We start from the raw sequence: 27,003 nt of genomic DNA on the forward strand, positions 1-27,003 counted from the left end.
GCAGCTGTCTGCAAGCCAGCAGGAGAGCCCTCACCTGAAGCTGCCAGCATCTTGATTTTGGACTTCCCAGCCTCCAGAACTGCGAGAAATGGAATCCTGTTGTTTAATCCACCCAGTCTATGGTACTGTGTTATGGCAGCCTGAATGAAAATGCCCAGGATTCCAAGTTTAAGCGGATTTTGTTCAGAGATTTGGCAGAAACACAAAAATATTGTGTATACCCCACAGCATTATAAAATAATGCTTTTTTTCTTACAGACCCCTAGTGCTGTTAGGAACTTGGTCTTCAAGATTTTAAATGCCTTTTTGGAATTGATCACAGAAAAATGAACATAATCAATGAAAGTACTTTTCAGATTTCAAATACATTTCTGGCTTGATAATCTTTATATGCAGGCTACAATGAAATACTGCTTTAAAACAAAAAATTTCCAACCAGCATATGGCTCTGCCTTCCACCTGGCTCTCAAAACATCATCTCTGGTTTTCCCACTGAATAGTCAATATTAAAGAATAAATAAACTGGCCAGGCACAGTGGCCCATGCCTATAATCCCAGGACGTTGGGAGGCTGAGGCAGGAGGATCACTTGAGCCCAGGAGTTCGAAACCAGCCTGTAGAGATGGTAAAACCCCATCTCTACAAAAAATACAAAAATTAGCAGGGCATGGCGGCATGTGCCTGTGGTCCCAGCTGTTCAGGAGGCTGAGGTGGGAGGGTCACGTGAGCCCAGGGAGGTCGAGACTGCAGTAAGCCCTGATCACACAACTGCACTCCAGCCTGAATGACAGAGTGAGACCCTATCTCAAATAAATAGATAAATAAATATCGACCAAAAAAACCCAGGATCTCTGCTTAGCCATGCATTAGAAGCACCTGGGGAGATGGTTTAGTCAAGCAGCCCACGGGTGCTCCCTGGAGGGCAGAGGATACTTGCAAATTCCAAAATCAAAAGTACCACCAGAAGCCAGGACAGCTTTGTCCTCCTCAGCCCTTCCACCTATTCACAGCCATAGAAACACGCCAGGAGAGAGGCTCACAGATGGATGGCCACGGCCTGCGGGCCCCAGCCTCTAGCACTGTCCCTAGAGAGAGAGTGCCCGGGGCTGGAGGGCAGTGAGATTAGCCAGGGGCACAACAGCTGGAATCCGTTTGCCCCATTCTGAGTCACAGCAGTGACCTGCAACGCCAAAGACGGCCTTTCTCAGAGTGAGAGGAGCAAGGAGACCCCCAGTGGAGGGCCAGGGGGCTGCATTAACAGGGACCTGGGCCTCTTAACCTTGCCCAGCGTGACTCCAAAACTCTGCAGCAGAGCAAGGGCACGTGCCCCAGTGGCCCAGTTCCTTCCCAGTTCAGAAGCTTGTTCCCCTCCCCCACTTCCAACAGCATCCAGAGGTGCCAGCCCCTAGTCCCTTCCAGGGGGGACTAGCCCTTCCCACTCCATTCTGTGGGAAGGCAGTATAGCCCGGGTCTGCGGTGCAAGGTCAAGATTGCCCATCTCGATTGTTTTAAGCAGAAACCACGGAAGGGGAAAGAGATGTCTGTGGACTTCTGCCCTGTACTCAGGACTCCTTTCTACTCTTGGCCTGACAGCTAAGTTCATGCTAGACAGTTCCCTCGCAGCAAGATTTTAAAATATTTTAAACATTTTTAAAATACCAATGCCTGGCCACTGCCCCAATGCAATCAACCTCCAGCACGCAGCCCCAAGCTCTTTTTTTCTTTTTTTTTTTTTTGAGACAGAGTCTTGCTCTGTCACCCAGGCTGGAGTGCAATGGCACAGTCTTCTCTCACTGCAACCTCCACCTCCCCAGTTCAGTCAATTCTCATGCCTCAGCCTCCCGAGTAGCCAGGATTACAGGCGCACACAACCATGCCCAGCTAATTTTTTGTATTTTTGGTAGAGATGGGGTTTCACCGTGTTGGCCAGGCTGGTCTCCAACTCCTGAGATCAAGTGATCCTCCTGCCTCGGCCTCCCAAAGTGCTGGGATTATAGGCATGAGCCACCGCACCTGGCCCCAAGAGCTCTTAACATTAACTTCCCAAATACAAGCACCTCCATCCGGACCCTATTGCCTAAATTTGCATCACAGAGATGCCAACCCTTCAGCCAGCAGGTAGGTAGTGAACTTCCGCTGGGTGCTCAATCCATGGGGACTTAGGGGCCATGGGAGGAAGAGGCTGAAAGAATGCACCTGTCACTGGCTTTGAGATGCCTTCACACCACCCAAGGCAGCGGCACCCGGCTGTGGTGTGATTCTTCACCATGCACACTCACATTTTTCTTTAAGTGTCAATTACTCATACGATTGTCCTTGAGGAAGCAGTATAAAGTATTAATTGTTATAGGTCTCATCCCTTCGATTATGGCCTTCTTTATATCCTGAGTGAGAAAATGGGAAGTTGGCGTTCAGAGCTTCCATTGCACACTGAGTATGACAGTTGTTTGGGGGAAAGCCCCTGTAGAACTGCTGAAGCGTCGAGTGATGTGGACACTTCTTCTTTCATGAAACACTCTTTTTACTTGAAAGACTAAAATGCCATTCTACCTGAAAGAATGACTGACAAACAAGCGATGGTTATTCAGACTGGGGTATCTGACATATTTCTTTGAAAATGAACAAAGTAAGCCTCTCATTTCAAAGGAAACAGTGACAGTCTTTGCTGCCAATGATAAAATGTGGGCATTCAAGCAAAAATTAGAACTTTGCAAAACTTGTATCCACCATCCCGAGCTTGACAGCTCCTGAATCATTGAAGACTTTTCCAGCAAGACGGGCAGCAACGTTATGCAGTTGGATTTTGTGATGTTGTAGGATAGAGGGCGTCGACCGTGGGAAAAACTCCACAATTCAGTGAACCAGTGTCTTCCCAGTGATAGGTGTATGACATTACAAAATCAAGTATAGGTAAAAGATCTGCACAAAGTGCAGATTAGACCAGTGGTTTAAGAACAGAAGATAAACTGTTTCAGATTCCACACTGAAATTAGTCTTTAAGAAACTACTGCTTGTCATGTTTTGGTGCCAGAACAAAGACACACGTCTACAACTACATGAAAAGCCTGGGAAAGAAAATGCACATCTCTGTCCCAGCTACAACTCTCTTCATATGCTCAGTCAAAACAATATATCACAACATGTTGAGTGTGGGGGCAGAGATGAGACTCCAGCTGTCCTCCATGAAGCCAGATTTTTTTTTTTTTTTTGAAACAGAGTCTCAGGCTGTTGCCCAGGCTGGAGTGTAATAGCACAATCTCAGCTCACTGCAACCTCCACCTCCTGGGTTCAAGCGAATCTCCTGCCTCAGCCTCCCGAGTAGCTGGGATTACAGGCACCCACCACCATGCCCAGTTAATTTTTGTATTTTTAGTAGAGATGGGGTTTCACCTTGTTGGCCAGGCTGGTCTCAAACTCCTGACATCAGGTGATCCACTCGCCTCAGCCTCCCAAAGTGCTGGGACTACAGGCGTGGGCCACCATGCCCGCTTGAAGCCAGATATTAAAGAGACTTAAAGAAATGTAAAACAATGTCAGTTGGCTCACTAAATTTATTTTTGAAACCTATAGTTATTATTTATAAAAATGTTAATTATGTTTACATCCCATGACTTTATTATTTACATGAATTAGTAAATATATATGTAAAACTATCTCAGTTTCAAACAGGAAAGGTACTGATATATGTAACCCACTAAAAGAAAACTTCCTTGGAGTCTTCAGTCATTCTGAAGGCTGGAATGGGTTCCTAAGACCAAACGTTTGGGACCAGCAGCTTTCATGCAAAACTGAATCTGTTGTGCTAGGAGTTAGACCCCAAACCGTGCCCTTGCAAATGTCTTGAAGCACTGTGGGCACATTCATTCATTCATTCCATAGCTGCGTGTTGGGTGCCAACCTTGTGCCAACCATGATGCCAAGTGTTACACATCCAAACATCACTAGACATGGTGGGGGCTCAAGGCCCAGGATAGCGCAGTGATGGTGAATTTTAGGTGTCAACTTGACTGGGCCACAGGATACTCAGATTAACCATTGTTTCCAGGTGTGTCTGCCAGGGTGTTTCTGGATGAGATTAGCATTGAAATTGGTGAACTTGGTAAAGTAGAAAGCCCTCCCCAATGGGGCTGGGCTTCATCCAAGTCCTTGAGGGCCTGAACAGAACAAAAGGCAGAGGAAGGAGAAAATCACCCCTTTTTTTCTGCCTCACTGCTTGAGCTGGGACGTCTCCTCCTCTCCTGTCCTCAGACTGGGTTTATGCCCTCAGTTCCCTGGTTCTCAGGCCTTTGAACTTGGACAGAACTACACCACCAGCTTTCCTGGGTCTCCAAATTTCAGATGGTAGATCATGGGACTTCTCATCCGCCACGATTTCATGAGCCAATTTTCATAATCAATCTCTCTATAGATGATAGATAGATAGACAGAGATACTTATATAAATAGGTAGGTATGAGCTTATCTATCTGTCTATCCTATTGGTCTATTTCTTTGCAGTACCTGACTTACACAGGGACACAGACCCACAGAGAGCAAATGGTAATGTTACATTTGGGACTCTGAAGACAGACAGTCCTCAAGTCTGCCCTTATTTGGGGCTCCTCACTGGGGAAGATCCCACTGAGTCTGAGGACTTGGGGGAATTGTTTTAAGGTGGAAGAGTAGCAACAACTCTGAAGAGCAGAGAGAGGCTGGGAAATTGGAGTCTAAGGACTCCACGTTTACCCCCGCAGAAGTGGGTGGAATGTTCATGTTACTGTCATGTTGCTAGAAAAACCAAAGAGGGAGAGAATTCTTTGTATTATCTACCTCTGCTTTCAAACAGGTTTTTTCCTGGAAGCTGTGGGGCAAGCAGTCATTTTTACCCTAGTGAGACATGCTTAAGTAAACTCTTTATAGCTTTTTCTCGCTGAGACAAGCTCCACTGGAGGAGAAAGTCTTTCACTGCATGGACACGTGCACAGAAGGGGCAGAGTGCAAGGCTTAACGCCAGAGACTTCTTAGAGGAGAGAAGCTGTGATGGGCACAGCACAGGACAAGCTTGGACGCAGCTCAGGGTACCAAAGGCCAGAGAGTAAAAGCACTCAATGAAACAAATTAATGTTTTTAAATGCTCTATTTTAATTTTTAACATGCTGACTATCTAGACATATAACCCCTGTAAGCTAAAGCTCTTTAGGGTTTTTTATACTTTTTAGCAGTGTAATGAGCTCCCAGCACCCTTAGGTCTCTTTCTGGCACTGGGATTACTCAGCAGCTTCACCTGGTGCACGTACAGGGAGCTCAGCTGTTCCCAGGCATGAGCGGTGAGTCGACCATCTGCCCCTGAGATTCCCTCATGGCTGGGCCCAGCAAGACATGGATGCAGGAAAGCTTGTTACGGAATTCCCTGCTGATCTTGCTGGTCGTAAGGGAAGGGCAAAAGTGAATGCCAGCGTGTTGCCAAAGAAGTTAGGGCTTGGCTGCAAAGGAAGGAAACACACCTAGCTGCTCTGCAGCCCCAGGCTGGTTCTTAGAAAAAGGACCCGAGAAAAAAACCCTACCTCCAGAGCACAGGTGACTTTGCTGAAAAAGAGCACACCAAGAAACGCAGGCCTGTGCCCTAACAGAGAGGCTCCAGTCCCACCTCACCCTCAGCACCCACAGCATCTGCCCTTCTCCCATGAGATTTCAAAGGCAGCCCCTTTCCCTCACCCTGGAGAGGAGACCAGCAAAGGACGGTGAGGGCATCTGGATGGCTGTGGGATAAAGCAGGTGGGGCCAGTTGCCCCCGGAGCACTGAGAGCCCAGGGATCCATGGAGCTGGGCAGCCAGTGCCCCTCCGGCCATGGATAGGAGGTTGGACAAGATGCCATCAAGGCCCCCTCCCACCTCTGGGATGTAGCATCTTTGCCAAAGATCAGTGTCCAGTGACTTTGAACACATCCCTGGCCATTTTGTGGTACCTGGTTGCTTGACCGCATGTGCCTAGGTATTCTTTATTTCTATAACAGTTTGAGGGTATGTGTCCCCTCCCCAGGGTGGAGGGCCAGGCTCAGCCCAAGCTGCCTTCAAATTTCAAGAGGTCTGAAGCCAGGCTCGGCCTCATGGAGGGCCATGGCCTGCAATCGAGAGGACTGACCTGGACAGGTTCAAGGAAGCTGCCAGAAACTCAGCTTCAGAAGTCATTGAACCTGCAGGCAGCAACCTAGAGAGGGACCCTGACCTCCCAAGGGCCCACCTGTCCTCCAACAAGACCCCTACTGTTGTAGCAGACAGCCCTCTTGGCCAGGGCAAGGCTCCAGAAGCTTCCACTGAAGCTGGGGTCCACAAGGGCTGCATGGAGGCATGCTTCCCTAGCCCTTGTGCAAGCCCAGCTTGAGCCCAGGGTCTGGAACAGAGATCCTCAGCCCAGACTCACGCCTGCCTCTCTCCCTCATCTTCTCCACAAGGACTATAAACCAAAAATAAAGTTATAAGCCCCTCAACCAACAGAATGGATCCCCGTTTTGGCCAAGAGCATTCTAAAGTAAACCTGAGGCTGGATGCAGTGGCTCACATCTGTAACCCCAGCACTTTGGGAGGCTGAGGCGGGTGAATCACCTGAGGTTAGGAGTTCAAGACCAGCCTGGCCAACATGGCGAAACCCCGTCTCTACTAAAAATAAAAATAAAAAAAAATTAGCCAGGCGTGGTGGTGCATGCCTGTAATCCCAGCTACTCCAGAGGCTGAGACACAAGAATCACTTGAACCCAGGAAGGAGAGGTTGCAGTGAGCCGAGATCGCACCACTGCACTCTAGCTTGGGCGACAGAGCAAGGCTCTGGCTCAAAAACTAAACAAATAAATAAAGTAGACCTGAAACACTAGTTCAGGGTGTGATGGGCATGGGTGGTCAGGCACACCTCACTATACCCTCTACCCTTTGGAGTTCAGGCACAGCTGGCCAGCATTAAACAGAGGCTTTAACACTGACAAAACAGACTCTCTGTAGCAATAAGACACCAACATGAGAGATAGCAGGTCCTGAAAGCAATCAAATATTTTACCCCAGAATAAGTTGCTTTGACATATTTTGAAATGGCCCTGCAAAGCTGTCTCTTTAAGTCTGATAAGAAATGTTTACAATCTATTCTCTCTGGAGCCTGCTACCTGGAGAACCTTGGTCTCCACAACCCCATATCTTAACCCAGATACTCCCTTCTGTTGATCTCAGGGCTTTAGATAAACTCTTTCAACCCATCCGAAAATCTTTGAATCTACCTATGACCTGAAAGTCCTCCTTCAAGTTGTCCCACCTTTCTAGACTGAAGGGATGTGCATCTCACAAGTGTGGATCAATGTCTCATGTCTCCCTAAAATGTATAAAACCAAGCTGTAGTCCAACCCTCTCAGGCACATATTCTCAGGACCTCCCAGGACTGTGTCACAGGCCATGGTCACTCACATTTGGCTCAAAATAAATCTCCAAATGTTTTACAGAGTTTGACGCTGTGTCAACACAACAATCTTGCTCCAAACTTCCTCTCCAGAGCCCCACTCCAGCTCCTCTCAAGCAGGAGCAGTGCTCAGCCTCGCTGTGTTGACCGCTAACCTCTTACTCTGGTTCTTTGAGATTATATATTATGGAATTGCTGTTATTTTTCTAGGTGTGATAGCAGTGTTGTGAATAGGTTGGAAAACATCTTTATTTTTAGGAGCTGCATCCTGAAGTATTTAAGGGCAAAGCACTATGGTGACACACTCAAATGGCTCAGAAAACAGTGTCTGTGTCTGTGTGTGTAGATATGGGAGGAGGTGAAGCTCATGTATCTGGATGTTAACAGTGGGTGACGCCAGGTGACAGGTGCGTGGACATTCATCACACTGTCACTTCACCTTCTCTGTAGACTTGAACATTTTCAAAACCCAAAGTTGGGAAAAACAATGATGACTAGATAGCAGTATAAAAATTTTTTGCAAGATAATATTGCACAGAAGGTAGAGGAGGTAGAAGAATTTTTAGGATGTGAAAAAGCAATTTGTAGTGACTGCTAAACATAAGATACTCAGCCTCACTAAGAATAAGGCAGGTTCAAAAACACTGACCATTCTATACACAAAGTGACTGGGTAAGTGAATGCTGCACAACCTGGCAATCTCATTTCTGACTCTATACTGTAAGGCAGTGGTTTTGAAATTCAGGATTTGACCTGAGGGAGGAGAGGAGTGGGGCAGGGATGGGACAGGGCCTCCTGGCCCCAATTACTAGTTCCTTCTTGCAAATCTCACATGGCAGCCCATGGGGGTCTGGGTCTGGGAAGTACCGCCGCTAACACCACCCTCACGCCACCCCAGCCACCACTGGCCCTGAGAGTCCCCCTCCTTAAGCCCTTTTCTGGACATCCTGGGCAGCAGAGTGTCTCCTGCACTGGGAGCCTGTGTGGGTTTTGCCCCAGCCTTCAGACGGCTCCTGAGTGCTGGGCTCGGGGTCACTGGCCTGGTGCTGAGCCGAGGCAGGGCTCCTGCCTGTGCCCACTGTCCTGCACACGGCTCCCGCCCAGGAGGCCAGGGCAGCCCACACTCAGCTCCACAGCCCAGAAAATGCCCCAGGGGCTGTATCTTTTGTAATTTCACACCAGATACCATTTGAAGGGTAGGTCAGACACAGGCCTGTCCTCAGAAGCCTAGTCCACAGTCAAGACCCTGGTCAAAGCCATCACCATTTCTCCTTGAAACCATTATAACTCACTAACAGAGCCCGCCTGGCCCACCCCTACCCCTCCAGCTGAGTCTCTTTGCAGCAGTCTGGGGGAGCTTTTGAAAATGCAGCTTGGTAAATTGTTCTCAGGTGGCTCCTTTGTGCCTCTTCTGTGGCCACAGGAAGCCGTGACTGGGCTTTCCTGCTATTCCAGGAAGAGGAGAAGACAGGTGCAGCGAACTGAGCACCAGCTGCACCCAGCCTAGACCAGCCAAACTCCAACTGACCCTGAGCTGCACCAGCAAGCCCAGTGAAGACCAGCAGAGCCACCCAGCACAACCCAGCCACCTCGGGATCGGCTGACCCTCACCTGACCCCAAGATGCATGAGCAAGCCAGGCAGAGACCAGCAGAGCTGCCCTATAAGAGCTGCCACAAAGCCCAGCTGACATTCAGCTGACACCACAGGGAATCCAGCTAAAATCAACAGAGCCACCAGCTGAAGCCAACCAGGCAAAATCAGCCAAGCCCCAGGCAACCTACAGACTTGCTGCCAACAAGACTGAGCTGCTCAGTGAGTGGATGAGGCCTGGGACCCCACGGCACAATGACCAGCCCCCACATTGCAGAGGAGCTCTGGTGGCCCTCGTAGCACGCCCCATACAGCATCTTATAGCCCTAAGAGCATCTCTCTGGACAGCATTATCCTGAAGGACTTCCGTGTCATCACACACTTCACTCCATGCAGGAGGAATTTGAAAATCCTGATTTCCATGCTCATTGTGGGATGGCACGATCTTCAAATGTGAAAGCTGGAAATCCCATTTACTTCTTCCCTAGTTTTTGGAGGTGAAATTCAAGAAGTTGAAACCCCTAGTGGAGCCCTCCAGGATGGTCTCACACCCTTCCCATGCACACCATGGAGGGGCTGAATCAGGAGTGTCCTGCGGCCTTTGTGGGCAGGAGGAGGCCTCCAGGGCCACAGAAGGAGAGCTGAGGCCAGAGAAGAAAGACCATCACCAGTGTTGACAGCCTACCAATTCTCCTCAGAGGAGCTTCCTAACCTTTGACCCTTCAATGGACTGGGGCTGTGAAAATGCATTGATTCCCTTATTTCTCATGGCAACTGGCCAGGGCCCCGGTGGCCAGAGCGCTAGGCCATCATCTCAGCCTGCAGCAGCCTGCCTGTGTCCCTGGGGGTGCAGGAGGAGGGATTTATTTATTATCAGAGTCTGTGGTGTCGGATTGAGAGTAAGGTTGGGAAGCACCTTTCACGCGCTCGTTCCCCTCCCACCTCGATGAGGTCTGGCTTGGTTCCAAGCGGAATGTTCCCATGTTCTCTGCAGTCTGTGGACAGAAGGGTCCTGGCTGCCTGAGGGTTATAGCCATGGACTCTGGGCCATGGAGGGGCCACTGACAGCAAGAGGCTCTCAAGGTACTGGTCCTGGAGAGGCTGTATCAGGCAGAAGCAGCTTTTCTGGGGACCCTGGGCAAGACCCAGACCCCCGTGGACTGCCTCGAGAGACAGTGAAAGAAGGAATGAGAAATCGGGACCATGAGGCCCTGCCCCATCCTTGCCCCACCCCTCTCCTCCCTCAGGACAAATCCTGAATTTCAAAACCACTGCTTTACAATATACAGTCAGAAATGGGATTGGCGGGTTGTGCAGTATTCACTTAGCCAGTCACTCTGTGTGTAGAATGGTCGGGGTTTTCGTATCTGCCTTATTCTTAGTGAGGCTGACTACTTTACGTTTAGCAGCCACTACAAATTGCCTGTTCATCCTAAAAATTATTCTATCTCCTCTACCTTCTGCGCAACATTATTTTGCAAAAAAAATTCATGCTGCTATCTAGTCATCATTGTTTTTCCCAACTTTGGGTTTTGAAAATGTTCAAGTCTACAGAGAAGGTGAAGTGACAGCGTGATGAACGTCCACGCACCTGTCACCTGGCATCACCCACTGTTAACATCCAGACACATGAGCTTCACCTCGGCCCATGGACAGACACATTGTTTTCTGAACCATTTGAGTGTGTCACCATAGTGCTTTGCCCTTAAATATTTCAGGGTGCATCTCCTAAAAATAAGGGTGTTTTCCAACCTAATCATAATACTGCTATCACACCTAGAAAAATAACAGTAATTCCACAGTATATGGTATACCACCCATCTTTAAAATGTTCTAGTTTCCCCCCCCAAAAAAAATGTCTTACAGGTGTTTTCTCCTACAGATAAGGTGGAGGAAAAAGGAAGGACTCAGTTATGTGGCTGATGTCTAATGGGCCATTATATAACATAGTTTTGAGCAAGAGTGACATGTCACACTAACTGAGGTTCAAGGGAGCTACTCTAGGAGACGTAAGTGGACAGGAAGGTTAATTAGGAGACTATGTCAATACATAGAGCTTAATCTGATATCCTCAAAATGCTTTCACCCTTTGGTTTTACAGGCAGGGTGGGAGGTAGAAAGCTACTTATTTAATCTACAACAGTGTTTGCTTTTTGTTTTTCATGACATTGATTTTTTTTTTTTTTTTGACAGAGTCTCGCTTTGTCACCAGGCTGGAATGCAATGGCACAATCTTGGTTCACTGCAACCTCCGCTTCCCGGGTTCAAGCGATTCTCCTACCTCAGTCTACCGAGTAGCTCGGACTACAGGTGTGTGCCACCAAGCCCGGCTAATTTTTGTATTTTTAGTAGAGACGGGGTTTCACCATATTGGCCAGGCTGGTCTTGAACTCCTGACCTCATGATCCACCCACCTCGGCCTCCCAAAGTGCTGGGATTACAGGCATGAGCCACTGCACCTGGCCTAATATGTCTTTAAAAGACAGGGTCTCCCTCTGTTGCCCAGGCTGCAGTGCAATGGTGCGATCCTAGCTCACTGCAGTCTCAAACTCCTGGATTCAGCAATCCTCCCACCTCAGCCTCCTCAGTAGCTAGGACCCCAGTCACTCACCACCACACCCAGCTACAGGCAGTTTAATTTTTACCAGAATGAGTGGCTAGGCATGGTGGGTCACGCCTGTAATCCCAACACTGTGGGAGGCTGAGGCAGGTGGATCACAAAGTCAGGAGTTCAAGACCAGCCTGGCCAACATGGTGAAACCCCATTTCTACTAGCAATACAAAAAATTAGCCAGGCATGGTGGCGGGTGTCTGTAATCACAGCTACTCGGGAGGCTGAGGCAGGAGAATTGCTTGAACCCGGGAGGTGGAGGCTGCAGTGAGCCGAGACCGGGCCACTGCACTCCAGCCTGGGCAACAGAGCAAGATGCCGTCTCAAAACAAATAAATAAATAAATAATTAAAAAATAATTTTTACTAGAATGCTTCTGTTGTGGACAACCAACCTGAGACCCAGTGGTGGGCGTGGCCAACCTGCTGATGAGTGACACAGCTGGCGCTAGCAGTGAGCCTCCTGACTCCCACCCTGTTAAGCCACGCGGCTTTCAGGTGGTTCCTTATCTCCAGTCACATCACCAATTTTGATCCATAGCCAAAGCTATGTTGTCTAATGCAAGGTTAGAAAACCTTTCTGGGCCAGGCACGGTGGCTCATGCCTGTAATCCCAGCACTTTGGGAGGCCGAGGCGGGCAGATCACGAGGTCAGGAGATGGAGACCATCCTGGCTAACACAGTGAAACCCCATCTCTACTAAAAATATGAAAAATTAGCCAAGTGTGGTGGCGGGCGCCTGTAGTCCCAGCTACTGGGGAGGTTGAGGCAGGAGAATGGCGTGAACCTGGGAGGCAGAGCTTGCAGTGAGCCAAGATCGCGCCACTGCGCTCCAGCCTGGGCGACAGAGAGAGAATCAGTCTCAAAAAAAAAGAAAAAAAAAAAAGAAAACCTTTCTGGTTATTACCACCAATCACTGGTAACATTTATGGAGTCCATGACACACATTGTGTTGAGCTCTTGTGCACAATCTCATATCTTCACAGCAACCCTGAGAGTGGTTAGCATCCCCATTTTACAGAATGGAAAACTGAGGCTCATGATGCTTAAGTGTTACTTACCCTTACTTATCAGAGTCGAGAATCCAAACCTGAGCCTTTGAACTCCAAAACCCACATACTTGTTACAAAGATAGGTGACAGAACCCACTTCGTGCTAGGGTGCCGAGTGGCGAATTCGAGATGTGCATTTCAAAGAGTGCTGGCCCAGTCCCCGTGCCTCCCGCTGGGAAGGTGTCCGGTCATGCTGGAGCATGAGAATGAGCAGTGTTTCATGGATTTGCCGGGAGATACTGAGGATTTGTTTTTGTTTCATCTCAACTCTCACATATAAACAATATGAGAATATTATCTTCGTCCTTCACAGAGCATTATACTATCTCCGGAGTATTATGAATAATACAGCTGTCAGTGAAATCAAATAAGTGGATAAGGGGTAAAGAACCGGGCACTATCATATTTCCTCTCCACAATGGGGTGTTGCTGTTGAATCAATCCCAGCCATAGTCATCACGTATTGATTACATTTAACCAAAATTCCAGGAATATGTGAACTTCAGCTGCATGTTCAAATTAAGATATTTTCTTTTCCCATAGCAGGCTCTGAGCTATATGATTTTGGAACTGGAATTACAAGATGACATAGTGTCATTTGATAATTAGGCTAATGATACTACCTGCTTAAAAATGTACACAATTTAAATGAACGGCATTTAGGAGTCTGATGATTGGTCTATTTCTTGTGGATTTTCTGTTGCGGACTGCAACTCACATAGGCTATGCATTTGTGGAGTTTGAGTCTGAGGGTGTTTGCAGCATAGTTGCTGAAACAATGAACAACCGCCTTTGTGGTGAGAGACTCTTGGAGTGTAAGTGCTCCTGTCTTACTGCGGGGTTGCCTGGGTGCCTGCTGCTGGTGGGTGACTGTGGTGGGAAGGGCGGCTTGCCTAGCTGCTTGGACATGCCACTTCATCTCTGGGATGACTCTTACAGAATGGTGCAAGGATTTCAGTGTATGCTGCAGGCAGATTCTAATTGGAATTTTAAAATCTCCCAGCCTGAGAGCTGTTTTTACCCTAAATGGAGCTGGACAAGTTACCTTGGGGTCCCATGGGAGGAGCAGCTAACCCATCCTTATGGGCTGTGAAAGGCTTCTCTGAGGAAGTAGCATTGACATTAAAACCTGGAGACTAAACAGGAGTGAGCCAGGTGAAGGGGACAGGAGTGAAGACAGACCATTCCTGGCTGAGGGACAGTGAATGCCTAACCAGAGGTGCCTAACCATTTGGCTGTGAGGTAATGTGAGGAAAAGTACCAAGAGATGAGGGAGCAGGAAGAGGCTTCAGGTCAGGTTACTGAAGGCCTTCTAAGTCAGCGAGTTCAGAATTTATCCTGAGGGCACTGGGGATAGAATCAAAGGTCAGGAATCGCATTGCAAAATCCATCTAAATGGCAATGGCTGCAGCTCTTCCACGTGAGATAAGCCAGGGGGAGTGGAGGAGTGACAGCACCAGATGAGTAGTTCATCCTGCAGAAAGGAGCCAGTGCAGCCCCCTACCCTGCAGTCCATAAGGTGCAGACAGCATCCCTGTCCAGATCCTGCTGCCCTTGGGAGGCAAAGCGAAGTTTCTGGCCTCCCTGTGCCCATGGCGGCCTGTGGCCATCTTAGGTACCCAAGTTCACAGGCATCTGCCCAAACAGCTGGCGAGGCTGCCCAGGTGGCATCTCTCTGTCCACTTCCCATAGCTGTGAGAGAAGCTGACTGCCTAGCTGAGGTCATGGGTTCATTCTCACATTAAAAGCATGGCTCTTGCCAAGAGGAAATGAGCTGGGTAGGTGCCCTGAAAATTGTCGACCGCACGTACCAGGTCGGTGCTGTGCTGTGTTGGACTTGAGAAAAATAGCTGAAAGGGCTCTGAATGTAGAGTTGGGGATTGTTGCTCCTGTCTAACAGCACTGACGAACTCCACTAGGGCAGAACTGGCTCATCGAATAAGGGAGGAGACCACCCCTCATATTGTCTTATGCCCAATTTCTGCCTCCAAAGAAAGAAGAAGTAAAAACTAAAAGGCAGAAATGAAATCCACAGGCAGACAGCCCTGCGCCACACCCTGGGCCTGGTAGTTAAAGATCGACCCCTGACCTAATCAGTTATGTTATCTATAGATTACAGACGTTGTATGGAAAGGCACTGTGAAAATCCCTGTCCTGTTCTGTTCCATTCTTACCTGTGTATGCAGCCCTCAGTCACGTACCCCCTGCTTGTTCAATCAATCACGACCCTCTCACGTGGACCCCCTTAGAGTTGTAAGCCCTTAAGAGGGACAGGAATTGCTCACTTGGGGAGCTCAGTTTTTGAGACGTGAGTCTTGCCTATGCTCCCGGCCGAATAAAGCCCTTCCTTCTTTAATTCGGTGTCTGAGGGGTTTTGTCTGCAGCTCGTCCTGCTACACTATCACTCTGACATGAGATCAACTGTGGCATCTTGATTATGCTGTGGGAAATGGCACCAGGAGATTCTAAAGTGAACGTTAAAATCCCTCCCCTACCATTTGGTTGAAACCTTTTTTTTTTTTTTTTTTTTTTTTTTTGGAAATGGAGTTTCGCTCTTGTTGCCCAGGCTAGAGTGCAATGGCACTACCTCAGCTCACTGCAACCTCCGCCTCTTGGGTTCAAGCAATTCTCCTGCCTCAGCCTCCCGAGTAGCTGGGATTACATGCATGAGCCACCATGCCTGGCTAATTTTTGTATTTTTAGTAGAGATGGGGTTTCTCCATATTGGTGAGGCTGGCCTTGAACTCCTGACCTCAGGTGATCCACCCGCCTCGGCCTCCCAAAGTGCTGGGATTACAGGCGTGAGCCACTGTGCCCAGCCTCAAAACTTTTTATCTTTTCAAAATACAGGTCGGTTTCTGCCATATGAAAAAGCATATGATGAAGTTTTTAAAAGCTGGAATGTTCCATTTTCAGAGACACCTGCGTATCCAGCAGTAGAAAGACATAACAAAAAAAATATGTATACAAAAGTAAAAGTGAAGAACCAATTGCTTAAAAAAAAAAATTACAGCCCAGCATAGTGGTTCATGTCTGTAATCCCAGCACTTTGGGAGGCCAAAGGGGGAAGATAGCTTGAGTCTAGGAGTTCAAGGCTAGCCTGGGCAATACAGTGAGACTCATCTCTACAAACAATAGAAAAAGTGAGCCAGGCATGGTGGCGCACACCTGGAGTCCGAACTACTCGGGAGTCTGAGGTGAGAGGATGGCTTGAGCCCGGGAAGTTGAGGCTGCAGTGAACCATGATCACGCCACTGCACTCCAGCCTGGACGACAGAGCCAGACTCTGTCTCAAAGAAAAAAAAATTATTCAGAAGGAAAATAGCTTTAAAAAAGGAACATATTGCAGTTTTCCATCTTTAGTATACACTGCTTCATCAACTCTTTGTTGTTTGGAGGGATGATGGGAGAGTTGTAGCTCACTGGTTGCAATGTAGTGTTGGGGGTCCCAGGCCACACTTTGGAATTGTTCTTGAAAACTAGTATGACCTAAACGTGCACTCCTGCACACGAAGGGTGCCCACGCAGCTTGCCATTCCTTTCAAAGGACCAGGCCTCACCATCCGCCAAACATGCATTTACTAACTTGTGGACACTTACTAATGTGGTCCTAAGCTATCTCTTCACCCGTATGAATTTGCATTTTTTTGATGACCAGCAAGATGTAACTACACAGTATGCAGTGACTGCCAGTCTGAGAAGAATGAGACTTCCTCAACGTCTATACTGGTTCGAAAATTGACAGTGAAGTAAAAAGAGGAAAAAAAAGCAAAAGACAAATGACTGAGTTTCTCACAGTTCCACTGGGAAGAATTAGAGTTCCTGAGAGACGGTCCTCCACATTCAGATGAAATCATGCCTGCCCATATGAATCACCTGCAAAGCACAGCAAAGTAAAGCTCAAGTCATGACGTGAATACAAGCTAGGCCTCGGATTTCCCTCAAAGCAAGGGAAGGAGACTCTCCCAGCTGGCTTCCTCATGTTCTCACTCTTGGCAACCAGGCCTCACTGGGGATTTGTCACGTTCCTAAGCCAAGTATATTTTCCCTTCCATTCTTTTCTTAAAAGAATAATAGCACCAAGAACAGCACCGAGGTTATATCAGAGAATGTGCCTGTGTTTAGGAGATGCTGCTGGAGTGTTCGGGGGAAGTGACATGCTGTCTGCCACTGATTTTCCAACGACTCACACATGCACACACGCACACAGTGTGAGAAAGAGACCAAGAAGAATTGACCAAATATTTTTTTTTTTGAGACGGAGTTTCACTCTCTTTGCCCAGGCTGGAGTGCAATGGCATCATCTCAGCTCACCGCAACCTCCGCTTCCCGGGTTCAAGTGATTCTCCTGCCTCAGCCTCCCCGTAACTGAGATTACAGGCATGCACCACCACGCCCGGCTAATTTTGTATTTTTAGTAGAGACAGGGTTTCTCCACGTTGGTCAGGCTGGTCTTGAACTCCCGACCTCAGGTGATCCACCCTCCTCAGCCTCCCATAGTGCTGAGATTACAGGCGTGAGCCACTGCGCCCGGCCGAATTGACCAAATATTAACAAGTAGTGGCTCCAGGTGAGAGATAAACAGGTGTTCATTGTACTATGCTTTCAACTTTTCTGTAGGCTAGCAATTTTTCAAAATTAAGTTTGCAGGGAGAAAACTAGTATGTACAGCTATTATGAATCCACAAAATTTAAAAATTTTAAACTTAAAAAAATGTTAACTAAATATGAACCCCACAGTTCCAGGCATGTCTCTGTTCATAGAAACTGCCTCTGGGGTCCATCCTCCTGTGTCTTCGTGGGCCATCAACCTTCCAGAACCTTCCATAGCTGCAACTTCTGAGAAATGAAAATGTAGGTCATGAGTCAGGGGGCCTCCAAGTCCCCTCGGGCTCCAGTCCCCTCCACATCCCAGCATGATGTGGGAACCCCTCTGGGTAGCTTCCTGGTCATTCTTGAGTGCTCTCCGGGCAGGCTGGACATCCCTGGGCTTAGAGAAGGGCCCTAAAGCCCACAAGGTGTGGACGGACAGTTTGACCCAGCACTGCCTGAGATGTCCAACCAAGCAGCCCCATCTAGTGGGGGACAGGAGGAGTGAGCGCCCCCCCACCCTGTGCCCCTACTAGAGCCCTGGCACCCACCCACCCCCTCCCATTCCCACCTGGCACTCCCACCAGTCCTGGGTCCTCAGCAGCATGAGAGGCGGCAGGTGGTGTAGAAGGCACGAGGGCTCCAGAGGCAGACAGCATACAATAGGTGTTCACTAAACACCTGTTGAATGTGTGGACCGCTTGGATGCAAACCTAGACCTGTGATGTATGCTCATGACGGTTTTGAGTGAGCTTTTACTATCTCCAAGCCTCTGTTTTCTTATCTAAAAACAGGGGGTAAAAACAGTATTTCAGGGAGCTGTGGTGAAGACTGAGAGACAGAAAGGAGGAAAATGTCCCTGGGACACAGCAAGCCCCAGCAAAAGGCGGCACTCCTCAGCTGTGGTTGTCCGAAACTAAAGGCGGTGGGCAAGTGCAGCCAGAGAAGTCCCCAGAGAAGGCTCTTGAGGAAAAGTGTGTGCAAGTCCCTAGGGCAGAGGTGGAGAGGAGGAAAGGTGTCTACGCCTTCCTTTCAAGGACAGGGGGTGAGGAGACAAGATAGACTCAGGGTGGGAAAGAGGAGCCTCCTTTTTGCTTCTGCACCAAACCCAGGAGAGCTCCACCGAGCTCCGTCTAAGGCAGAGACGACAGGTCTCACTGTGCAAGGCAGGGATGCCCTGGGCTGTGGGAGCTGCCAGTGGGTGGGGCCTGCACACGTGGTCTGGGAGCAGTAACCCTGGAGACATCCTCTAGGCACGTGTGAGGCCTGGGAGACTCGGCAAGGAGGAGGGCTGAGAGCAGTGAAGTGTAGGGACAATGTATTAACAACAGGCTCAAACCCCTGTCCAGAGGCTGGGAGGGCTGTAGCAACTGATTACGGAGGGTCTTGCAAATGACTTACATAAACATGGGAACTGCAGTTGCCAAAACTGTGAACAGCACGATGCAGTCATTCCATGTCTGAGTTAACAAATCCAGGATATAAAAATGATCCAACAGGAGGAAGAACAGGCTAAAACCAGCAAAGATAACATTTGGCAAGGACAAATAGAAAGCCAGAGATTCAGGTCACTAAATGCGGGGTAGGGGAGCAGAAGAGAAGGGCAGGTCCCATGGGAGGAGAGGCAAAGGGTGAATTTTTCTCCAGCAGCTTGGGCGGGGTGGCACCTGGCCAGAGGCTTGTTAGAGTTCGTGATGCTGCATGCTAGGAAAAGATGAGTCTGGCCTGTCCGGGGCCTGCTCTCGGAGACAGGAATGGAAACACAGGGGAGGGGCAGTGGACGCTGATTCGTAGCTGTGTAATTGACAGTTTGGCTGGTCCTTGTCCCTAGGTCCTGGGAGGTTGCCTCTAAACCCTTATTATTCATGGTGGATCCTTGAGCTACAGCCCATGGTTTATGCTAGCAAGGTAACTCAGGATGGGGGGCCACCAGGCCAGAAAGACCAACCGTGTAAGGAGAGGGTTGGGGCTTTGAGATGTCAGCCTGACCCGGGCTAAGGGAGAGGGGCTCGAAATGAAGTCCCGTGAGCTGTGATCCGATCAACCACGCCTACATAATGAAACCCAGTAAGAACTCCAGACGTCACAGCTCCGGTGAGTTTCCCTGGGCGACAGCACTCTGTGCACCGTCACACACAATGTGCGGGAAGACAGTCGTGTCTGGGAATGACGGAAGCTTCGTGTTTGGGACACTCCCAGGCCTCACTCATGCATCTTTCCCTTCGGCTGGTTCTGACTTGTATCTTTGTGTTTATAATAAAACTGTAATCCTAAGCATCGTGCTTTCTTGAGTTCCCTGAGTCATTCCAGTAAATTATCCAGTAAATTACCAAACCCCGATTCCTGAATTTGTAGCCACCCAAGGGTGACCTGCCACCAAACTTGTGGCTGGAGTCTGTAGGAAGACAGTCTTACGGGGACTGTGTCCTTAACCTGTGAAGTGTGGCCCAGACGTCACCGAAACAGTGCTTACTGATTTCCATCGTGTAAACAGTCCTGCCACGACTGTTTCAATGCTCGCTTAAAACAGAACCATCAGCTCCCTCAAGCCAGCGTGGCATGAACCAGTGCCAGCACACGGCCGGGTAGGGGCAGAGCTGAGCGGCTCCAACACAGCTGAGAGGAGGCGGAGACAGAAGCCCCGGGGAGCAGTCAGGAGCATAAGGGAAGAAGCACGGAAAGAAAGGAGCTGTGTCGGAGGAGGCTCAGTCGGCAGAGGCTCTGAGATAGAGAAAAGATGTGTAGATGGGGAGGAGGGAGGGAAGCCAGCTCAGAGAGAGTGGTGGTGCAAACAGGCCCAACGTTCTTCCCATGGGCCAGGCACCACCCCAGGACAACTCCAAGAGGTCGGTGTAAGGTCGGTGTAGTCATCAGCTGGAGAGCCTGGGGCACCGAGGTCCAGCCGCTTGAGAAAGTCCTGCCGCTTGTCAGCGAGGAAGCCAGGATTTACACCCAAGCCTGCACACCATGCCACATGTGTCCCCACTGTGACCTGGACTTCATTTCCGCTTCTGTTGCATTTTCCCCAATCTGCACTCCCTTCTGTAATGGTGCAATCCTTCATGGGCACATGATTCCAGTCCTCGCTTCCCTGATGACTTCCTGGAACCCCACTAAACTGGGGCTCAGAACTGAAACCATTTCCCCACCCTCGGATTAAATGCACTGCAATAGGGCTGGGCGGTCACTTTGCGGCAGGCTGCTTCATCAACAGTGTGAGGCAGATACGCAGAGAGGCACCCTTTACGGAGGCCCAGCTATGTGCCAGAGGCCGTGTGTCCATGAGCACATCCAATCCTTATCAAGCAGAATGGCTGTGGCTATCCCTGGTCTTTAAGGAAAGACCTCAGGGCCCTGGAGTGCTTGCCAAAGCCAAGCGCTAGACAGCATGGAGGACTGGACGGACGCCGGCCCTGTCTGTCTGCATCAGAAGCCCAGAGGACTCCACGTGTCCTGCTACTCATTTTGGGAGCTTCAGGCAGGGTGAGGGAATGAAGCATCTGGGGATGCACAGTCCAGCAGCGACGTTCGGGACAATAACAAGGGCAGATCCGGGTCTCTGGTTCCAGCAGCCTCCTGTGCCCACAGTGCAGATGCTGGGATGGTGCTCCCCGTGCTCTCCACACGGCCTCCAGAGGCAGAGCTGCTGGGTGTTGTCTCCTCAGGGAACCCCCCCACCCCCCGCCGTGCGCCTCTGGAATCATCTATTGATGGAAATGGCTTCCACATCCTGACAGGGTGTTACTTCTCCTTCTCTCTATGTCTACTAAAAGCCCACACACTTTGTTGCTGTTGCTTTCTTTTTAAAAGCTTGGCTATAAGCGAAATACATTCTGGCCACATTTCCCCCCCACACAGAAGGCAATTTCAGAAGTCTTTGGGGGTCCCTGGAGGGTGCCCACTTGCCGTGGCTGCTCCAATCCCACGTACGACATTCATGACTCAGACTTGAGGGGACCAGGAGACACTCTGGAAGTGACATGGTGATCCTAGGTTTTCACTAAGTCTGTAATTTAGAAATCCACATGTGGTGCTATCAACACAATTGCCTACCACATAGCTGACATTTAAAACCCACGCCACGTCCCTGGCGTATCGCGGTGGTGGTGCCACACCGTCCTGAGGCTGACAGGGCTCTCTTGATGGTGCAGCCCTCTCTGCGGAGCCTCCTGATCCACTGTCCACATCCACGCATTGGCCACAGCAGATCTGGGCCCTCGGCAGAGAGACCGAGATGAAACAAGCCAGTGCGGTTCTAAGTATAGTTCTATTGGAAAGTGTTTATTATATAAGAGCTAAATTATAAATCAGAGCCTGTATATAAAACAAAGCATTTGGCAGTGACTAAAATATCTCCTCCTCTGCTGTGTTTCATCCCAAGAGACACACAGTGTGGTGCTTTGGGGCAGGGTCCTTGTGGGCTGCACAGATCCCGGGACCCATCAAGATCATTCCTTTATTAATTTTTTTATTTTTTTATTTTTTTTGAGACAGATTCTCACTCTGTCACTCAGGCTGGAGTGCAATGGCGCGATCTCTGCTCACTGCAACCTCCACCTCTTGGGTTCAAGTGATTCTCCTGCTTCAGCCTCCTGAGTAGCTGGGACTACAGGTACATGCCACCACACCGGGCTAATTTTTATATTTTCAGTAGAGATGGGGTTTTGCCATGTTGGGCAAGATGGTCTTGAACTCCTGACCTCAGATGATCCACCTGCCTCGGCCTCCCAAAGTGCTGGGATTACAGGCGTGAGCCACCACACCTGGCCCATCAAGATCATTCCTATCCAAGCTTCATTGCCTAAATCTACGTTTGTCCCAAAAGGTGTCTCGTGTGAGACATTGGGGTCCTTCTTCCCCTCATTCTTTATACTTCATGATGAAAACTATTAGTGGATTGAGAAAGAGGAACACAACAGAAGGACCCAAACAAACAAAAAGCCTGAGAATGAAAGATATTAGGCATCTTTCTAAAATTAAGGCACAGCTTCTGTTTGCAGCAATACGGTAGACTGAGGTATTAAAATCTCCCACTACAAAACACCTAGACATGCTGGATAAAGTATGTGTCCCTCTAAATGCATGCACGAGTCCACAGAAAAGTAAAAAGACTGAAGGCCAAATATGTTAGAGAGTGTGTTATTTTTCTATCCTGCCATTTAAAAATCACCATAATCTTAGTGGCTTGAGATAACGCAAATTTACTATCTTACAGCTCTGGAGGTCAGACATCTGACGCAGGTCTCACTGGGCTGCATTCCCTAAGGGAAAATCCATTTCCATAGCTTTTTCCACTTCTAGGGGCCACTGACATTCCTTGGCTTGTGGCCCCTTCCTCCATCTCCAGAGTCTGCAGCGGTGCATCTCTGGCCATTCTTCTGTCATCAGATCTCCTCTGACTCTCTTGTGCCTCTCTCTTTCACTTGTACGAAACTTTGTGATGACACTGGGCCCACTCTGATAATCCAGGGCAATCATTCCATCTTAAATCAAATGATTAGCAATGGTAATTTTATCTGCAATTTGCATGCCATCTAGCGTATTCTCAGGTTCTGGAGACTAGGATGTGGGCATCTTTGGGGCAGGGGGCATTACTCTACCTACCACCGAGAAAAAACTGAAAATCAAAAACGTATAAGTGTGGCTGACACTTTGGCTGCCTTGGATGGGGAGGCTAGCAGTTTCCAAAGGGCTTGTTTTCACTAACCATGAAGGCAAGCAATGTGGCCCAGGCCCAGAGGAGGGGAGTTAGAAACAAGGCCACCCCACAAAGAGGATCATCAAAGGGCTATACTTTCGGAGAATAAATAAAAATCTGTTCATTGACCAAAAGTGGCCACAAAAGACTATGTCTGTCTCAGATTGTCTCAAAATGTTTCCATGAGAATGCACAGCCTCAGGCCTGCCTGAAAGCATTGTCAAGGAATCCCACTGTTGAGAAATAATAAGAAAATAGCAATTTCAAGCTGTTAACACCCCTGGGGTGTCTGGCAAGAGCAAATCCAAAGCTCCTTTGAGGAACATACCCTCAGTCTGGGCTGCACATGTTCTACAAGTAAAGCTCCACCAACAGAGACGCATGCCCCAAAACCACAAAGCAAATGAGGAAACAAGCCATGGTGAGCAACAGTCCAAGCAACAGTGCACCAAAGAACTCAACTCCTGGGAACTCCAAACAACAAAACACACAGAGGTGGATTATAAAATAAGTATGCTTACAGTCGTTCGATAAAAGGAGTCAAGGGATGATACAGGAGCAAGACATTGTTAAGATAAAGACCAGGCTTGTTTGAAAATGAACCAAATAGTGTTTATAGAATTGAAAACAACAATTATTGAAATGATGGACATGTTTAGTAGCAGATTAAATATAGCTGAAAAGAGCAATAGTGAACTGGAAACTAGATTGAAGAAATTTCCCAGAATGCCACTCAAGAGACATAAATAGGTGAAAAGTTTGAAAGAAAAGATAAAAATCAGAGAATGAAGACAGAAGATCCAGTTCCAGTTTACTAGAAACTCCTAAATGAGTAAATGAAGACAACAGAGAAAAGCAATACTCAAGAAAAAAATGGCTGAGAATTTTCCAGAATTGATGAAGGATATGCATCTTCTAATTCAGGGAGGTTTTTCTATGAGCTGTAAGTAAAATAATTAAAATTTATGAAATAGGAGAACTTCAAGACCAAGAGCAAGGACAGCCAGACAGAAATGATAAATTGCCTACAGAGTGAGAATAGAATGACCTCAGACTTCTCAATAGCAATAACCAAAGTCTAAAGACAACAGAATAATATCTTCAAAGTGCCGGGAGAAAATAACCACTAATATGGAGTTCTATACTCAACTAAATTATTTTAGAATGAGGGTAACCTCTAGATCTAACTACAAATATGCAGGAAAAACAGGGGATAGAAGAACATGCTAAATGATACCACAGGAACGAGATCAGCAACATTCAGATTGTGGGAAATTCTGCAGGAAAAACAATTCAGTTTCTTCAAGAAATAAACTGCAAGAAAAAAATTTAAGAAAGACACAGGAAGAGAGGGAGAGAGGGAGAACCTTAAAAGATACTTAAGAGACAAATCAGTCCATCTCAAGGAATAAACATTATTTGAATAGATTCACACTACTTCAAAATTTATATTTATGAGACAATTGAAAATTTGAATGCTGATTGGATATTTGAAAATTATAATGCATCATTGATAAATTTTTAGCTATTTTTATGGTATTACGTGTTTTTTTTTAAAAAAAGAATCCATATGTTTTAGAGATATATACTGATGTGATGAAATGAAACTGGACTGGAAATGAGGTGTTAAAAATTTTGAGGTTGGATACATTGTGGTTCATTATTCTATTTTTGTGGTTGTTTGAAGTTTTCCTCTATACAAGTATAATAAAAATAATAGTAGTTATAATAAAAGGAAGTGTTAGTTAAAAAGGCTTCTTCCAAGAATATGGGTAAGTAAATAGTGCTATATTAATATCAAGAAATATTGTGAAGAGTTAAAATTAAAGAAGCAGATTCACTTGTAGCAACATGAATAAATCACTTAAAATGATTGAGGGAGCAAGTTGTGGAATGATACAGTATGACACTATTTATATTGCAAAAGAAAATAAAATTTTAGGACCCTCTAAATGTATTATGCCAAGGGAGAAGTTGAGCCCCGAGACTGAGTCACACTGCCTGTTTGCAATTCTGATGCTTAGATTATAGTACCACTCTCTCTTCATTGTTCTTGTTCTGTAAATGACTAGGAAAGACTGGTGACCAGACCTCCCATTTCCAATCACCAATCTTTGGTGGGGAGAGTGTGGGACACAAGGGAGTCAGCGGGAGGGTTTTAGGTTCTGCCCTGGAGGAGCACTTGGAGGGGCCTAGCTCCCAAGCAGAAGTGGACCCTGGATGCCCAAGGCTGACCGGCAGTCATAAGAAGCTGCCTGGTGGAGAGGCACTGCCCGTTTCTTGGTAAGTTTGGTTGGAGACTCCCTGTTTGGGAAAAGCCCTGAGAAAGAACCCCCAGGAGGGAGGGTCCATTTTGCATCTGTGTCTGCCCAGGCTGAAGAGGCTCAGGCCAAGTCTCCGAGGCATCAGTCAAGTGGCTCCTGTCCCACCCCAACTCCTCTTCCTCCCCCAGCTCCAAACCAGAGGAGCCTGAGAGCCTAGGGTGGGAGTGGGGTAGGGCAAGGCAGGAAACAGAGAGGTCAACGGCACCCAGCCCTGCTGGCATCCAGCCTCCACCGCCCTGAGCTGAGGGAGGAGAGATGCTCAGCTTTAAGCAAAGTTTTCTTTACACAGGACTGCATGTTTTCATTATTAAATGAGAGTGTGGCAGTGGCTAAAAGTCACTGGAGAACTTTTTCTTTCCAGGAAGTGACCTAAGATGTATTGAGCCTGGGTGCAGTGGCTCGCACATGTAATCCCAGCACTTTGGGAGGCAGAGGTGGGCGGACCACATGAAATCAGGAGTTTGAGACCAGCCTGGCCAATGTGGTAAAACCCTGTCTCTACTAAAAATACAAAAATTAGCTGGGCTTGGTGGCACACACCTTTAATTCCAGCTATGCGGGGAGGCTAAGGCAGGAGAATCACTGGAACCTGGGAGGCAGAGGCTGCAGTGAGCCAAGATGGTGCCACTGTGCTCCATCCCGGGCCACAGAACGAGACTCTGTCTCAAAAAAAAAAAAAAAAAAAAAAAGTATTCTGAATAGCCCAAGTCTTCATCGGAGGTGGAGGAGGGAGGGGCTAGAAATGACACACAGGTGTGCAGGGACCCCAAGGGAAAGAGGACACACGGGAGAGAGGACGTGCGGCCCAGCAACTGGCGATGCTGGCCAGTGGACTCCTGTGGCTGCCAGCTCAGCAGCCCTCCTGCTTTTGTCAGAGCACCTGTCCATCACAGGCCAAGCCCCTCAGGAGAGCCACAGAAACATGAGCCAGGAGCTGGGGAGGCCCCAGATCCTGAGCTAAGATTCCTGGATGGCCCTGGCTGATGCTTGGCTGGTCTGCTGGTCCTTCCATTTGACAAATGCCCAGTGTCCCTCTGATAAGTTCCTTTTTACTTTCACCTAAATGGCTCTGCTGTCTCTGTGCTGGTCCCCCACCTTCCTGATGGGTGTGCTTGCCTCTGCCGGGAAGGGGCTGTGGAGCCGCCTCACGCTGGCATTTGCTTGTGCTGGGCCCTTGGCTCGCTCATGAACCCCGGCCAGCTTCCCAGACCTGACCAGCAGGTGAGCCCTTTCATTTGCCCAGCACATTCTTAAAATTGGAGGTTGAAAACCTTCAGGCAGGGAGTGCCCCCATGGGCCCCACCACCCCCTGCTGTCATACCCTGTGGTCTGACCCATTTAAGCCCCTGCTGGGACCACTTCTCCTTTTCTTCCTGCTATCTGACTTGTCTGTCTTTCCTTCTCAGCTGCAAAGGCTACCTGGGCCCCAACAGGTCCCCTAAACCCTAGCACAACCATTGTACTATTGCAGTGTGTTAAGTCAATCATTTCTAACCAACCCCCCTTTTTTTTAAGAGATGGGGGTCTCACTTTGTCACCCAGGCTGGAGTACTATGGTGTGATCACGGCTCTCTGCAGCCTCAACCTCCTGGGCTCAAGAGACCCTCCCACTTCAGCCTTCTCAGTAGCTAGCACTACAGGCATGCATCACACCTGGCTAATTTTTAAAATTTTTTTGTAGAAAGAGACTCACCTTGTTTGCCCAGGCTGCTCTCAAACTCC

The 27,003-nt window shown here is 48.3% G+C and overlaps 1 pseudogene, besides 6 other annotated features; it reads left to right on the plus strand.

Moving 5' to 3' along the window:
- Positions 650-1,150: an enhancer, noted in NCBI's record as "H3K4me1 hESC enhancer chr2:127914864-127915364 (GRCh37/hg19 assembly coordinates)". NCBI's record gives its function as "activates a minimal SCP1, AML or CMV promoter by ChIP-STARR-seq in naive H9 embryonic stem cells {active_cell/tissue: H9 hESC(naive)}" and the evidence as "EXISTENCE:reporter gene assay evidence [ECO:0000049][PMID:30033119]".
- Positions 1,151-1,651: an enhancer, noted in NCBI's record as "H3K4me1 hESC enhancer chr2:127915365-127915865 (GRCh37/hg19 assembly coordinates)". NCBI's record gives its function as "activates a minimal SCP1, AML or CMV promoter by ChIP-STARR-seq in naive H9 embryonic stem cells {active_cell/tissue: H9 hESC(naive)}" and the evidence as "EXISTENCE:reporter gene assay evidence [ECO:0000049][PMID:30033119]".
- Positions 8,505-9,098: an enhancer, noted in NCBI's record as "H3K4me1 hESC enhancer chr2:127922719-127923312 (GRCh37/hg19 assembly coordinates)". NCBI's record gives its function as "activates a minimal SCP1, AML or CMV promoter by ChIP-STARR-seq in naive and primed H9 embryonic stem cells {active_cell/tissue: H9 hESC(naive and primed)}" and the evidence as "EXISTENCE:reporter gene assay evidence [ECO:0000049][PMID:30033119]".
- Positions 9,099-9,692: an enhancer, noted in NCBI's record as "H3K4me1 hESC enhancer chr2:127923313-127923906 (GRCh37/hg19 assembly coordinates)". NCBI's record gives its function as "activates a minimal SCP1, AML or CMV promoter by ChIP-STARR-seq in primed H9 embryonic stem cells {active_cell/tissue: H9 hESC(primed)}" and the evidence as "EXISTENCE:reporter gene assay evidence [ECO:0000049][PMID:30033119]".
- NIFKP9 (NIFK pseudogene 9) lies at positions 13,373-13,593 on the plus strand (annotated as a pseudogene).
- Positions 14,308-14,859: an enhancer, noted in NCBI's record as "H3K4me1 hESC enhancer chr2:127928522-127929073 (GRCh37/hg19 assembly coordinates)". NCBI's record gives its function as "activates a minimal SCP1, AML or CMV promoter by ChIP-STARR-seq in primed H9 embryonic stem cells {active_cell/tissue: H9 hESC(primed)}" and the evidence as "EXISTENCE:reporter gene assay evidence [ECO:0000049][PMID:30033119]".
- Positions 26,327-26,883: an enhancer, noted in NCBI's record as "H3K4me1 hESC enhancer chr2:127940541-127941097 (GRCh37/hg19 assembly coordinates)". NCBI's record gives its function as "activates a minimal SCP1, AML or CMV promoter by ChIP-STARR-seq in naive H9 embryonic stem cells {active_cell/tissue: H9 hESC(naive)}" and the evidence as "EXISTENCE:reporter gene assay evidence [ECO:0000049][PMID:30033119]".

The sequence above is a fragment of the Homo sapiens genome, chromosome 2 (genome assembly GCF_000001405.40).
Source record: "Homo sapiens chromosome 2, GRCh38.p14 Primary Assembly".
Classification (NCBI taxonomy): Eukaryota; Metazoa; Chordata; class Mammalia; order Primates; family Hominidae; genus Homo; species Homo sapiens.